Source organism: Homo sapiens, chromosome 3, assembly GCF_000001405.40.
Source record: "Homo sapiens chromosome 3, GRCh38.p14 Primary Assembly".
Taxonomy (NCBI): domain Eukaryota; kingdom Metazoa; phylum Chordata; class Mammalia; order Primates; family Hominidae; genus Homo; species Homo sapiens.
Genome location: NC_000003.12, coordinates 70010001 through 70026637, shown reverse-complemented (window position 1 = coordinate 70026637; position 16637 = coordinate 70010001). Strand labels below are relative to the sequence as shown.

Sequence of the window (16637 nt, the reverse complement as noted above, 5' to 3'; positions counted from 1 at the left end):
ATTATCATATTATGTGATCTTAACAATTTTCCTCCCACAGGATGTTGTGGACAGAGGAAAAAATCCTAGTCTAGACCACTTGTCTGTGGTGATCAGGGACTTGATATGTCTTCAATATTTCTGCAGTCTGTCATCTAAAGCAGTACCCTCAGATATTTAGGAAAGCTTTACTAACCAGCAGGAAATCTTGATTTCAGTGGGAAAGAAACATAGAGGAAGAAAGAGAGACAAGTGAGAAAGACTGAAACAGAGGAAAAAGTAGAAAGAAGGAAGGAATGGAAAAAAATGAATAAAATAAATTAATTCCTGACCTTCAAACTGTCTTATATTCAATCGGCTAACAACTACACTAAATCAGGAACACTAGTTCCTGAAATCAGAAATCCTGTTCTCAGAAGTTAAAACAGAATATATTCAATGTCTGGAGAGCAGCAGTAAATATCATCTTCCAATGACATTATTTCATTTCATAAAATAACTTAGCACCTTAGCAAAATAAAATATCTAAGTAAGAAACACCTCACTGTGTCATTAAACGATTTTCCAAAATTATTTTCTCTTTTTTTACTTTTATAAATTACTAAAATTTCATTGTTTGTCATTTCCATTACCCTGAACAACATGGGTTTGAAATGCATGGGTCCAATTATATGCTGATTTTCTTCCAAGACCAACCCCTCCTCTTCCTCCTCCTCCTCAGCCTACTCAATATGAAGATGATGAGAATGAAGACCATATGATGATTCACTTCCACTTAACAAATAGCAAATATATGTTCCTTACAATTTTTTTAATAACATTTTCTTTTCTCTAGCTTACTTTATTGTACGAATACAGTATATAATACATATAACATACAAAATACGTATTAACAGACTGCATGTTCTCAGTCAGGGTTCTGGCCAGCAGAAGGCTATTGTAGTTAAGTTTGTAGTGAGTCAAAAGTTATACTCAGATTGTGAACCGCGTGGGATTGGTGCCCCAAACTCCCATGTTGTTCAAGGGTCTTCATCTTTCTGTTTGCTATTTTCTGACTTCTTTCTGGGAACAGGATTTATGGTTTAAGGTGGTTGTTAGCTACTTAAACATAAAACAGGCTAGGCACGGTGGCTCATGCCTGTAATCCCAGCACTTTGGGAGGCCGAGGCGGGTGGATCACCTGAGGTCAGGAGTTCAAGACCAGCCTGGTCAGCATGGTGAAACCCCTTCTCTACTAAATACAAAACTTATCCAGGTGTGGTGGCGGGAACTTGTAATCCCAGCTACTCAAGAGGCTGAGGCAGAAGAATCGTTTGAACCTGGCAGGCAGAGGTTGCAGTGAGTTGAGATTGTGCCTCTGCACTCCAGCCTAGGTGAGAAGAATGAAACTCCATCTCAAAAAAATAAATAAATAAAAATAAAATAAAACATAAAACAACTGGAGACTCAGCATTAACATAAAACTATGGTATTTATTCCAAAATATCTTTTTCTCTAAATTCTTTTAAGTGACAATATGCCTCGGACTTTACCACATCAGCCAACTGGCAAACATTCTGGAGTTCACAGATTTTATCATAAAATAACATGCCCTTTGTAACTATGTAGATCTTAGCCCATGGTGTTATCTACAGGAAGCTCAAGGCCTCTTCCAGCCCCATCTTCTCCCCTTTCACCAAGAATGGGGCAAGCTCATGACCTCAACAGTCTTAGGTCATCTTCCACCTCTTCTCACAATTGACTAAACAGCCCCAAGGAATTAAACATTCTTGAGTTTTCTGCCTCTCTCACTCCTTTTCCTCTGCATCTTTTGTTTTGCTATCAATGTTAAGATCCAAGATCTGCACAAGGTAGAAGCAAACAGATTATTCAGTTTAGATTCTCATCTCTGGAAAACAAAGCAAAAAGCCTTTCTTGGAACCAGCCTAAATGACGGTCTTCTACGATGAGGTTTGTAGTCAAAGCCCCTGTCAACAAAGGAAAATCCGAATGCTTTCCTTTGCCTCTTCCATGTAAGTATCTTTCAAGGACCAAGTGAAGAACCACGGATTACGGGGAAGCAAAATTCAGCTGGGAGGCAGCAGAGCATGGTGGCTGGGAGGGGTCTCCTGGCATCAGAGGCTTTGCTGCTTACTGGCTCCATGTCTTTGGGCAAACAGCTTGTTTTCTCAAATCCTACATTTCATTTGGTGGTATATGATGAGTTGTTGACAAATATCAGCTAATTTTATTATTATTTTTGAGGTAATGCTGGTCTAATATCATCTACTAGTTTCTATTCCAATCAGAAATTATATGTCTGCCTAATGTTTAATTTGTGACAACTAGAAGAAGTGGATTTGTAAAAACAGAGAAGATAAATCATGAAAAATAATAGGAAACTATTAAGCTTTTATCATCGTATATCAGTGAAAAGCATGCAATGGTTCCATTTCCACTATATGTCTAGACTTGTACCGCTCATTGTAGGAATATAAAAGAAATGTGAGACATTGTTCTTTGGGTCAAAGAACTGCCAATCTAACTGAGGAAATGAGACAGACAGAATAATGAGAGTGCAATCCCAGGCAGAATTGCGTAGACCTGCTAGTGATTGAGGCAGATGTGAAATTAGGGATAGACCAGTTTGGGTAACCATGATTAGGAAAAAAATAGGAAGGAAGAGCTGCACCAAGCCTGATAAGGTCAGCTGGAGACAGGCAGAAGGAAAAACTGTGGGCATTCTGGGAGGAAAGCTCAATATGAACAGAAGGACAGAGACAGAAATGGACATGGTGTAGGTTGTAAGACTCAATAACAGGTTGGCAAACTATGGCTTGCAGTCCAAATTTGGCCCAGGCCTATTTTTGTAAATAAAGTTTTATTGGAATACATACACATGACAAAAGAAATGGACATGGCAAGAGCTCGAAATAGAGATCATACCTTGCTTCAAACAACAAGCAAATGCAGCTAAATTTCTGATAGTGGACAAATGGGAGCCACCGATAATTACTGAATCAAGGAGAAGTAGGAGGAGAAGTTACAGCAGAGTTAAGATTCACATTTTTACTTACTATGAACACTGCCTCCCAGATGTTAATTTTGAACAGTGGCATGAGTAATAGCTACACAGTAAGAAATTCATGACTACAGGAAATAAAGGAAACATATTATAAATAAAGAATATAAAGAAATAAAGAAACTTTTTTTTTTTTTGAGACAGAGTCTTGCTCTGTCACCCAGGCTGGAGTGCACTGGAGCAATCTCAGCTCACTGCAAGCTCCACCTCCTGGATTCACGCCATTCTCCTGCCTCAGCCTCCCAAGTAGCTGAGACTAAAGGCGTCTGCCACCACGCCTGGCTAATTTTTTTTTTTGTATTTTTACTAGAGACGGGGTTTCGCTTTGTTAGCCAGGATGGTCTCGATCTCCTGACCTCGTAATCTGCCTGCCTCGGCCTCCCAAAGTGCTGGGATTACAGACGTGAGCCACCGTGCCTGGCCTAAAGAAACATATAAGATTCCTAGTCTTTGAGACTGGAAATTATTTGCACTTTTCACTAAAATGAATTTTAAGAAGCCAACATCAAAGCAGAGATTATGAGATGAGGTGAGATTTTGCAATTCGGATCATAGCGATGTTTTAGTGTCCAGTGGAATACTGTATTAATAGGAAAATTGGACCCAATTCTTCTAACCATTGTCTTAATTCAAGGCAATTACATGAAATACCAACCCAACTTTTTCTTCACAAGAAATGTATCCACTCAATCTTTCCTTCATCCCCAGAATAAAATGATAACAAAAACAATTTTTACATGGCAGAGCTATTCCACTTGAAAATGGTGTCAGCTAATATTTTGTTTCAAAATGAGAAAGTCAAACCAAATGAAACTTGAATCTTTTAGAAGGGCTTAGGCCCTTTAGCTGTGCACCAAACTTGATGAGAATCAGTGAATTATTTAATGGTATTCTTGAGAAACAACCCAAGAAGACATGGTGAAATGGTAAGATGCTAAGTCCAAAGGGACTTTATTTCATCTAGTCAATTAGAATTGTCTTTGGAATTTATGATACAAGTCAGAGTGCTACATAGATTTTGCAATACGAAATAAAATTAGTTCCATAAATGTTCCCAACTGAAAGACCAAAAGAACCAAAAAAACACGAGGACTCATAAATAACTGGTTGTCTGTCTTCCCTACTGGCAGTATCACAATACAATTTCTTTTTTTTTTTTTTTTTTTTTTTTGTTATTATACTTTAAGTTTTAGGGTACATGTGCACAATGTGTAAGTTTGTTACATATGTATACATGTGCCATGTTGGTGTACTGCACCCATTAACTCCTCATTTAGCATTAGGTATATCTCCTAATGCTATCCCTCCTCCCTCCCCCCACCCGGCAACAATTTCTTAATGAAATCAAATTAGGTACATTTGGGGGGCCAGTTGGAATATCACGTTGTCATTTGAATCCCCTGAATTACTGGGCAGAATCGGTTTGTAGAAATCCCTGTATATTCTAGCCCCAACTCAAGGACAACAGATTATTGGAGGAACAAAATCTTTAAATTGGTAAAAAACAAAAGGCCCTTCTCGTTAAGATGTTGCCTTCCAGCAAGCACTACTAATACTCAGCAGGTGATGTGAAACGCTGTCACCTACCGCCTCCATTCTGGTGCCTAAACAGGTTTAGACCTCAAAGTCTTTCTTCCCCTTGATAAGAACTACTTCTTAAAAATGTTGATGAAGATTTCATAGGTTTCTTTGAAAATAATTATTAAAAAAGAAATGGCCCTCAGGTTTTATCTATGCATAGCAATAAGTCTCAGCTGCAAGCTAGTTTTTTTAAGTCAAGATTTTTGCTTCCAAAAAAACAGATTTGTACAAATGCACTCAAAAACCTTATTAATTGGAGCAGGCTACAGTCCAATTACTCTGGTGGCTTGAAAACAATCCCAAAATAATAAAATATATAATGATGATGGGTTTTTTTCCCTGTTAATATCACCACAATCTGAGAAAATCTTTGAGCCGTTCCACTGAAAATGATTTGGATCCTTAAAGACAATTAATTACAGAAGACCAAAGAGAGGTTTTGAAAAGTGAAAAAACTAAATATAATCAGGCCTAGTAGAAATACATTTGGCATTATTTAAACAAGCTATGTTTTTCTTGACTGCTCTTTTAGCATTTTGCCACTTCCTCATTTTGCCACAGATGTTTTATTTTATAAGTGGATGAACTTCATCATTTTCATTGACTAAAATGTCTAAAAATAGGTAAACAGTTATAAAAACAGCAAAAGGTTAACAAGGCTGAAAAAGAGGCCATATACTGGCTTCTTTCTTGAAAAGTAAACATATCAAACTGAAATAAAAGAAAATCTAATATGAAAAAATATATTTTAACTGAAAATGAGAACTCATTACACTAATTATGACAGGAAATGTGTTTTGGTGGCCTGTTACTGGAAAAGGTTTTCTCACGTCTCACATCCTCCCTTCTCTTCCCACCTCCCCACCCTGAATGTACACACACACAGGGAATGTTTTCCATGAACAGCCAATGTGGTGAAAAGAGGAAATGCTCTAAAGTCACTTTCCATGGAAAATAAAATTCCAACATTTAACTCCGTTCTTGAAGCTATGGCATCATAATCTCCAGAGGGCCTCTGCTAGAATACAAACATTTCATTTCATTCACCATTACCAACACTTTCAGAACTTGGTTCTGCCATTTTCTCACTTTCTGGCACTAAGAAACTTGCTTAAACATTCTAAATCTCATTCCTTCATTGCTAAATAACAAGGTATGTTTATATAAGGATGCATGTTTCCTACAGTTGTTGGGAAGATGACGTGGAATGATGTCCATAAAGGGCTTACTTTGCATCATGCCTGAATTGTAAAAGGCGCTCGATCAACAGTAGCTGCTACTGCTATTATCATTATTATTATTAATTATTATTGTTACTATTCTCATTAGCTAATGGGAAAGGAATGAGATCCAAGTAGGCTCAATCAGATGATTAGAAGGCGAAGAGAAATGTGTGGATGAAAGCTGTGGAGTATGAGGAGTTTGCAGGCTCTGCCATCCCAAGCTGCACAGGGATGGGAAGACTCTGCAATAAACACCACCACCTCTTTGACAAGTTTGCCTGCAGCCAGGCCTGGTTCTGTTGATTCATCTGCCACTACCACAGATGCCACAGTCTCCATATTGGTGGGCAGACTAATAGAAGAAAATCAGTGCAAATCCAGAGCATTTGCATAATTTCAGTTCCTTTGGTCATTTCCTAGGAGAGGTCAAAAATTGTACTCTTTCGTCTAGGGTGCCTGAAGACCCATGTTCCTGTTGAATTTTTGCTTTCTGCATTAATCTCTTAGCTCTTGATTGTGGAAAAATAAAGAATTGAGGAGACAGAGAAGGCTAAAGGAAAGAATAAAAGGGAATAAACATGACTTTTAGATCCATATTTAGTACTCTTTTCTGCAAAATTGACGTGGGGATTTGGCTAATCACATAATTGCAACTGGTGCTCGGCCCAGTCCCTCATATGCTGCAGGAACACCATCATTTGTCTGGTTGTGATGCACAAGAGCATTTTTAACTCTACCTTTAAGGCCTTTGCATTGTTTCTGCCTGTGAAAAGAGAGCCAAGCAAGAATTTCCTGAGCTTCTGGATTCTGGACTTGAAGAAGCATTTCTTCACAGAGAGGATTCAGGGAACTCACATTCCACCAAATTTTAATAGTTGTTACCCAAGTTGCCAATAAGTGTGACAAAGGCTGTCAAACAAAGCCAAACAGGGTTCCTTACTGCAAGACTTCTCAGGCCCTTGAATGTGTTAATATGGAATATTAATTCCTAAGAACAGCACTTCTGTTTGTCACCACCAGGTCAGCCCTACAAGAGCTCCTGAAGGAAGCACAAACATGGAAAGGAACAACCGGTACCAGACACTGCAAAAACATGCCAAATTGTAAAGACCGTCGATGCTAGGAAGAAACTGCATCAACTGACGAGCAGAATAACCAGCTAACATCATAATGACAGGATCAAATTCACACATAACAATATTAACCGTAACTGTAAATGGGCTAAATGCTCCAATTAAAAGACACAGACTGGCCAATTGGATAAAGAGTCAAGACCCATCAGTGCGCTGTATTCAGGAGACCCATCTCAAGTGCAGAGACACACATAGGCTCAAAATAAAGGGATGGAGGAAGATCTACCAAGCAAATGTAAAACAAAAAAAGGCAGGGGTTGCAATCCTAGTCTCTGATAAAACAGACTTTAAACCAACAAAGTTCAAAAGAGACAAAGAAGGCCATTACATAATGGTAAAGGGAACAATTCAACATGAAGAGCTAACTATCCTAAATATAAATGCACCCAATACAGGAGCACCCAGATTCATAAAGCAAGTCCTTAGAGATCTAGAAACAGACTTAGACTCCCACACAATAATAACGGGAGACTTTAACACCCCACTGTCAACATTAGACACATCAACGAGACAGAAAGTTAACAAGGATATCCAGGAATTGAACTCAGCTCTGCACCAAGCAGACCTAATAGACATCTACAGAACTCTCCACCCCAAATCAACAGAATATACATTCTTCTCAGCACCACATCGCACTCATTCCAAAATTGACCACGTAGTTGGAAGTAAAGCACTCCTCAGCAAATGTAAAAGAACAGAAGTTATAACAAACTGTCTCTCAGACCACAGTGCAATCAAACTAGAACTCAGGATTAAGAAACTCACTCAAAACCACTCAACTACATGGAAACTGAACAACCTGCTCCTGAATGACTACTGAGTCCATAACGAAATGAAGGCAGAAATAAAGATGTTCTTTGACACCAATGAGAACAAAGACACAACATACCAGAATCTCTGGGACACATTCAAAGCAGTGTGTAGAGGGAAATTTATAGCACTAAATGCCCACAAGAGAAAGCAGGAAAGATCTAAAATTGACACCCTAACATCACAATTAAAACAACTAGAGAAGCAAGAGCAAACACATTCAAAAGCTAGCAGAAGGCAAGAAATAACTAAAACCAGAGCAGAACTGAAGGGAATAGAGACACAAAAAACCCTTCAAAAAAATCAATGAATCCAGGAGCTGGTTTTTTGAAAAGATCAACAAAATTGATAGACTGCTAGCAAGACTAATAAAGAAGAAAAGAGAGAAGAATCAAATAGACGCAATAAAAAATGATACAGGGGATATCACCACCGATCCCACAGAAATACAAACTACCATAAAATACTATAAACACCTCTACGCAAATAAACTAGAAAATCTAGAAGAAATGGATAAATTCCTCAGCACATACACCCTCCCAAGAATAAACCAGGAAGAAGCTGAATCTCTGAATAGACCAATAACAGGCTCTGAAATTGAGGCAATAATTAATAGTTTACCAACAAAAAAAGTCCAGAACCAGATGGATTCACAGCCGAATTCTATCAGAGGTACAAGAAGGAGCTGGTACCATTCCTTCTGAAACTATTCCAATTGATAGAAAAAGAGGGAATCCTCCCTCACTCATTTTATGAGGCCAGCATCATCCTGATACCAAAGCCTGGTAGAGACACAACAAAAAAAGAGAATTTTAGACCAATATCCCTGATGAACATCGATGCAAAAATCCTCAATAAAATACTGGCAAACCAAATCCAGCAACACATCAAAAAGCTTATCCACCATGATCACGTGGGCTTCATCCCTGGGATGCAAGGCTGGTTCAACATATGCAAATCAATAAACATAATCCAGCATATAAACAGAACCAAAGACAAAAACCACATGATTATCTCAATAGATGAAGAAAAGGCCTTTCACAAAATTCAACAACGCTTCATGCTAAAACCTATCAATAAATTAGGTATTGATGGGATGTTTCTCAAAATAATAAGAGCTATTTATGACAAACCCACAGCCAATATCATGCTGAATGGGCAAAAACTGGAAGCATTCCCTTTGAAAACTGGCACAAGACAGGGATGCCCTCTCTCACCACTCCTATTCAACATAGTGTTAGAAGTTCTGGCCAGGGCAATCAGGAAGGAGAAGGAAATAAAGGGTAGTCAATTAGGAAAAGAGGAATTCAAATTGTCCCTGTTTGCAGATGACATGATTGTATATCTAGAAAACCCCATCGTCTCAGCCCAAAATCTCCTTAAGCTGATAGGCAACTTCAGCAAAGTCTCAGGATACAAATTCAATGTGCAAAAATCACAAGCATTCTTATACACCAATAACAGACAGAGAGCCAAATCATGAGTGAACTCCCATTCACAATTGCTTCAAAGAGAATAAAATACCTAGGAATCCAACTTACAAGGGACGTGAAGGACCTCTTCAAGGAGAACTACAAACCACTGCTCAATGAAAGAAAAGAAGATACAAACAAATGGAATAACATTCCATGCTCATGGGTAGGAAGAATCAATATCGTGAAAGTGGCCATACTGCCCAAGGTAATTTAGAGATTCAATGCCATCCCCATCAAGCTACCGATGACTTTCTTCACAGAATTGGAAAAAACTACTTTAAAGTTCATATAGAACCAAAAAAGAGCCCACATCGCCAAGTCAATCCTAAGCCAAAAGAACAAAGCTGGAGGCATCACGCTACCTGACTTCAAACTATGCTACAAGGCTACAGTAACCAAAACAGCATGGTACTGGTACCAAAACAGATATATAGACCAATGGAACAGAACAGAGCCCTTAGAAATAATGCCGCATATCTACAACCATCTGATCTTTGACAAACCTGACAAAAACAAGAAATGGGGAAAGGATTCCCTATTTAATAAATGGTGCTGGGAAAACTGGCTAGCCATATGTAGAAAGCTGAAAGTGGATCTCTTCCTTACACCTTATACAAAAATTAATTCAAGATGGATTAAAGACTTACATGTTAGACCTAAAACCATAAAAACCCTAGAAGAAAATCTAAGCAATACCATTCAGGACACAGGCATGGGCAAGGACTTCATGTCTAAAACACCAAAAGCAATGGCAACAAAAGCCAAAATTGACAAATGGGATCTAATTAAACTAAAGAGCTTCTGCACAGCAAAAGAAACTACCATCAGAGTGAACAGGCAACCTACAGAATGGGAGAAAATTTTTGCAATCTACTCATCTGACAAAGGGCTAATATCCAGAATCTACAATGAACTCAAACAAAGTTACACGAAAAAAACAAACAACCCCATCACAAAGTGAGTGAAAGATGTGAAGAGATCCTTCTCAAAAGGATCTCAATGTCTTCTCAAAAGAAGACATTTATACAGACAACAGACACATGAAAAAATGCTCATCATCACTGGCCATCAGAGAAATGCAAATCAAAACCACAATGAGATTCCATCTCACACCAGTTAGAATGGCAATCATTAAAAAGTCAGGAAACAACAGGTGCTGGAGAGGATGTGGAGAAATAGGAACACTTTTACACTGCTGGTGGGACTGTAAACTAGTTCATCCATTGTGGAAGACAGTGTGGCAATTCCTCAGGGATCTAGAACTAGAAATACCATTTGACCCAGCAATCCCATTACTGGGTATATACCCAAAGGATTATAAATCATGCTGCTATAAAGGCACAAGCACATGTATGTTTATTGCGGCACTATTCACAACAGCAAAGACTTGCAACCAACCCAAATGTCCATCAATGACAGACTGGATTAAGAAAATGTGGCACATATACACCATGGAATACTACGCAGCCATAAAAAACGATGAGTTCATGTCCTTTGTAGGGACACGGATGAAGCTGGAAACCATCATTCTCAGCAAACTATCACAAGAACAAAAAAGCAAACACCACATGTTCTCACTCATAGGTGGGAATTGAACAATGAGAACACTTGGACACAGGAAGGGGAACATCACACACCGGGGCCTGTCGTGGGGTGGGGAAGCGGGGAGGGATAGCATTAGGAGATATACCTAAAGTAAATGACGAGTTAATGGGTGCAGCACACCAACATTGCACATGTATACATATGTAACAAACCTGCACATTGTGCACATGTACCCTAGAACTTAAAGTATAATAAACAAAGAAAGAAAGACACCTCAAGTAAGACCTGATGACAGGAAATGTCAACAATGCAAATTTCTAAACATTGCAGATACTAAGTAATGTCTCAATTACCAAAGACAAGATGTATAGGTTGATTTTCCCTGTACACTGGGTAAATAAACGACTTGTTAACATTTAAAAAAAAAAAAGAACAGCACTTCTGGCCATCCAGTACTTTTTTTAAAATCAGAGAGCATTTCCCCAAAATGCTGAGGGAAGTCCCAAGATGGTTTTTTTTTGTTTGTTTGTTTGTTGGTTTGGTTTTTTTTGAGACGGAGTCTCGCTCTGTCGCCCAAGCTGCAGTGCAGTGGCATGATCTTGGCTCACTGCAAGCTCCGCTTCCAGGGTTCACACCATTCTCCTGCCTCAGCCTCCCTAGTAGCTGGGACTACAGGCGCCTGCCACCATGCCCGGCTAATTTTTTTGTATTTTTAGTAGAGACAGGGTTTCACCGTGTTGGCCAAGATGGTCTCGATCTCCTGACCTAGTGATCCGCCCGCCTCGGCCTCCCAAAGTGCTGGGATTACAGGCGTGAGCCACAGCACCTGGCCCCAAGATGGTTTTACATCTAAATTTGCTCTTTTTGTCTTAACTTATGTTGATTGGTAACATAAGTTCGTAAGATCTATCTAAGGGAGGAATTTTAAAATCCCACGATCATCCTTAGTAATGCTGGTATTACTCTGTGTTCAGGACACAGAGCTCTGAATCTTTAACTAACACCACAAGTCTTGAGATATATACAAAGATGGACAACTCATGCAATATCATACACATGAATTCTATGAAAAACATTTTTCTTAAACTCCAGCATAGACACTTGAGGATTAAAGCCAGAAGTTACTTTGAGAGTTGGAGGAAAGACAGGGTGGTTGGTTCTGTCCCTAAAGACATTCTCCATAAGTGGCCCCTTTTGAAATTCCATGGAGTAGATAGGCACAGGCAGGTGCCTCTTTTATATGTTCATGCTCACCCATAACCTACAGAACTGATCCGATGCATATGGATTTGGCTGAAATGTGTGAACTTGGCTAAAGGTAATGGTTTTGTTTTGACTGCAGGCAAAGACATTGAAGAAAAGAATAAACGTATGTCTTGAGGAATCAGGGACTATGCTCCCCAGAAGCAGGCAACCTTTCTGAAGTCTCCTCGTAGTGAACAGCGTTGATTTTGCCTGAAATCCCCTCTTCCTCCTTCGGTCAGTTGCCAAGTTTTATTTATCTTTTAGACGCCTCCATGTCTTGGGGGTAGGTGAAGGAAAGAGTCCAGACATTCTTACTCCATTGGAAGGCAGATTATGTTAGCCAACTGAATTCCCTCTGTACGAAGGATAAAATCCTGTGTCACAGGTCACTAGGTGTGGGAAGTTCTCTCTCCGCTTTGGAAATAGTAGATAGTAAGGGTCTTAAGCCTGGAGTAAAGACCATCATTGCCATGAGGGCAGAGATGGCCTGCTTGTAAATGAAACCAATACTGAGGAGAACAGACTTGGAAGATGGCAAAGTAAAGATTCCTGGTAACAATGTTCAAACGCTACCCTGTAGGTCGTTGAATAATCTCTGCCTCTAACAAGAGGAACCAAGCAACAATTTCCTGAGCTTCTGGTTTCTGGACTTGAGGAAGCATTTTTTTCACAGAGTTTTCCAGAGAGCCGTTGGATCTAGCCACACCTCTGAAATTTATCCCTCCAAAGTTTCAACTTATAGGCGCAGTAATGTCTTTTCTGCTTCAGCTAGTTTGAGCTGGGTTTCTAAAGCTGCAATAAGAAAGTGGTTGAATAATCCACACCTATTCTTAAAAATTCATGCAAAATTTGCATTCTCCTTCATAATACATCCATGTGTGTTTTAAAAAGAAAAATATGTTAAATTATTTACCTTTGAGTAAAGTTGACTTTCCAGGAGGATGTGCCATGTTTATACAGTGTCTTCTCTCACCCCTCGCTCACTGCTGAGGACCCCAGTTTTGAGTTGCATAGTTGAGGAATAAGAATTTAACAGTGCCTTTCTGAGACTTTCAGTCTTACTACCCTGAAAGAAAGAGAAGGAGAAGCGGAATGAAAGAAGATGAAGAAGAATTACATCCTAGGGAGGCTCATGTACTGGCCTCCTTTGCCTGGAGCTCCATTGACTACAATTCATAAAGCAACATGACTGACTATAACTGAGCACTTACTATGTGCCAAATGCTTTATATGTATGATTTTACTCCTCATAACAACCTTTGAGGAGGCTACTCTTATTGCTTCTAGTTCATATTTTTTTAAAAAAAGAAACTCATTCAGGCTTTAAAAAACTAGGCAAGACTACAAACCTAAAAATAACAAAGCCAGAGTCAAAACCTAGACAAATTCGGAACTTAAAATCATGATTATCACCATCATCATCATCATCATCATCACATTTACTATATGCCAGAAACTGTTCAAGTGTTTTACCTAAATAAAGGAACAGGTAGTTAATTTTATCCTTTTCTCAAAAATAGGAAAACCAAAATTAACTGACTTGCTTAAAATGACACAGCAAGTATGTTTCAAAACTAGATGATCTTCCTCCAGAGTCTACAAACTGGATAGTAGATTATTGATCACAGTTATCTTCTTTACTCAGCCTTTTAGGGTAGATAAAAAGGAAGAACGGTGCTTCCTTGTATGGTAGAAGAGGCCCCAAGACCCTTATACCATCCTATCTATGTACGAGAACTTCCCATTGACAACCAAAGGTAAGAAACAGAAAACTTTGCCACAGCAAAGCCTCACCATTCTCTACATCACACTCAAAGTTGCACCTTCTACAGTCTGGCCCAATTCATGTCTTCTGATTTCACTGGGTCATGTCAAAGACCCTTCTTGGTAGTAGAATAAAAAGGGGCAAGTAAGTACACCAGTTTTCTATGGCTGATGTAACAAATTACCACAAATTTAGTGCCTTAAAAAAACAAAAATGTATTACCTTACACATCTAGAGGTCAGACATTACAGTGGGTCAGCAGGGCTGTGTTCCTTCTGGAGGCTCTAGTGGAAAATTTGTTTCCTTGCCTTCTCTAGCTTCTAGAGGCTTCCCACATTCTTGGTTTTCGCCCCTTCCTTCATCTTTAAAGTCCGCAGTGTAGTATCTTCAAGTCTTCCTTTGACTCTGACCCTCATGGCTTCCTCTTTCCCTCTTAAGCACCCTTGTGATGACATTGAGCCCACCTGGATAATCAACAAAAAAAAAAATGCTTCACATCTCAAGATTCTTAATCACATCTACAAAGTCCACTTTCCCTTGTAAAGGTAACAAAGTCAGAGGTTCCAAGGATAGGATGCAGACATTTTTGAGGAGCCATTTTTTGACTCCCATAGCAGGTAAAAGAGATTTTACCTTCCCCAGGGACCAACAGACACTGCTGCTTGAAAATAACTTCAAGCTTCATGATTTCAGTTTGGAGTCACATCTCTTTCCTCCAGCTCTGGATCATGGATTGGAACCAGCAGGCTCTCCTGCTCAGTCCAGGAGGGAGCTAGAGAAAGGGGTTGAGACCATTCACACCATCCCTTTCTCTTCTGGCCTAAAGACCATATCACCTCTAACTCACAGCGTTGCCATTTCTGGTTGTCAGATGCACTCATCTCTGGGAATTTATTTCATCTGAAACTTCCAGAGTAAGTTTCCACAGTTCTCTCTTTAATACTTGTGTTTTCAAACACAGTATGAGCAGTGATTATTTCCTTCTTTAGGTCTGAGATCACTGTGCTTTCCATACTTCATAATAGCAAGTGATTTATTTGTTTTAGAGCCTGTGTTCTTGGATTCCCTCCCAGGCTATGTTTGAATGGCATTATAGGATTTTGCCAATCTTTGTTTTCTTTGCTATAGTATCAGAGAAATGGAACTGAAATACCCACAGTTTTCAGACACTTCTTAACCAATTGACTTCACTTCCATAGTAAAAAAAAAAAAAAAAGTAAACTCTTCATTTCAGTCTCACATACAATTATGGAGTCTCTTCACTCTCTTAAATCTTCAACTAAATGAAAGCACTCAGGGGTCAAAGTTGGCTTTGTTAAATTTACAGACAAATTATACACATTCTGAATGACTAATAGAAAAAACAAACTCTCCTTACCCACATATTAGGGCTGAGAAGAGGGGCCCTAAATTTAAGAACATCATTTGTCCTAACAATAGGTATTTTCAAAGCTTTGACCAAATCTTTGGAATTGAAAGGAGACCTGGAATGGAGTTTTAAGGGAGAACTAAGGAAAATTGTATTGCTCTGCATAACAAAGTGGAAGACTTTTTGTTTTTGTTTTTTCATTTTCTTAGAGGTAGCCATAGACAATATATAAATAAAGTCATGGTGTTCCAGTAAACTTCACAAAAAACAGATGATAGCATGCACCTCAGAAATATGTAAAACTATTATGTATCTACAGTAATTAAAAATAAAAGGGTATAAAAAGGTGAAGAACCCTTGAGTAATACCCCAAAGTATAAAAACCAGGGCAGTATACGGCTGATATAGTTTGGCTCTCACCTTGAATTGTAATCCCTACAATCCCCATGAGTCAAGGTTGGAACCAGGTGAAGGTAACTGAATCCTGCTGTCAAGGTTGGAACCAGGCAACAGCATCACCTGCATGCTGTTCTCACGATAGTCAGTGAGTCTCACGAGATCTTATGGTTTTATAAGCGTCTGGCATTTCCCCTGTTTGCACTCACTCCGTCCTAAAGCCCTGTGAAGAAGGTGCCTGCTGCTCCTTTGCCTTCTGCCATGTTTGTAAGTTTCCTGAGGCCTCCCCGACAATGCGGAACTGTGAGTCAATTAAGCCTCTTTCCTTTATAAATTACCCAGTCTAGGAAAGCAGTAAAAGTTCTTTATAGCAGCAAAAGAACTAACTAATACAATGGCACATACGCCACTCTGGAGCCAATTACTCCAAAGACATTACATATGCTGAAATTACAAATAGGTTATTAACAGGAAGTTGGGGTTTTAACAGGAACCCTAAGACACAAGAATGACATCAGTGAAAATAGCATCCATCTTCCCCTTGGTGCTATGGCGAAGGTTTGGCAATAAACAGGAAAACAAAAACAGGCAGAGGTTGCAATCCTAGTCTCTGATAAAACAGACTTTAAACCAACAAAGATCAAAAGAGACAAAGAAGGCCATTACATAATGGTAAAGGGAACAATTCCACATGAAGAGCTAACTATCCTAAACATATATGCACCCAATACAGGAGCACCCAGATTCATAAAGCAAGTTCTTAGAGATCTAGAAAGAGACTTAGACTCCCACACAATAATAACGGGAGACTTTAACACCCCACGGTCAACATTAGACACATCAACGAGACAGAAAGTTAACAAGGATATCCAGGAATTGAACTCAGCTCTGCACCAAGCAGACCTAATAGACATCTACAGAACTCTCCACCCCAAATCAACAGAATATACATTCTTCTCAGCACCACATCACACTTATTCCAAAATTGACCACGTAGTTGGAAGTAAAGCACTCCTCAGCAAATGTAAAAGAACAGAAGTTATAACAAACTGTCT

The 16637-nt window shown here is 39.1% G+C and overlaps 1 long non-coding RNA gene across 24 annotated transcripts in view; it reads right to left on the bottom strand.

Annotated features, from left to right (window-relative positions):
• Positions 1-16637, bottom strand: part of SAMMSON (survival associated mitochondrial melanoma specific oncogenic non-coding RNA) — a 435002-nt gene that overhangs the window by 407952 nt on the left and 10413 nt on the right. For 21 of the 24 annotated variants that reach the window (NR_186029.1, NR_186026.1, NR_186027.1 and 18 more), the window contains 2 exons: positions 14040-14281; positions 12966-13118 (listed from right to left, as the gene is read on the bottom strand). This is a non-coding gene — a long non-coding RNA (survival associated mitochondrial melanoma specific oncogenic non-coding RNA). Of the gene's footprint in view, positions 1-1431; positions 1821-10595; positions 12845-12965; positions 13119-14039; positions 14282-16637 lie in introns of those variants that run through there. The other 3 variants (NR_186009.1, NR_110000.2, NR_186010.1) reach the window with 2 other exon arrangements.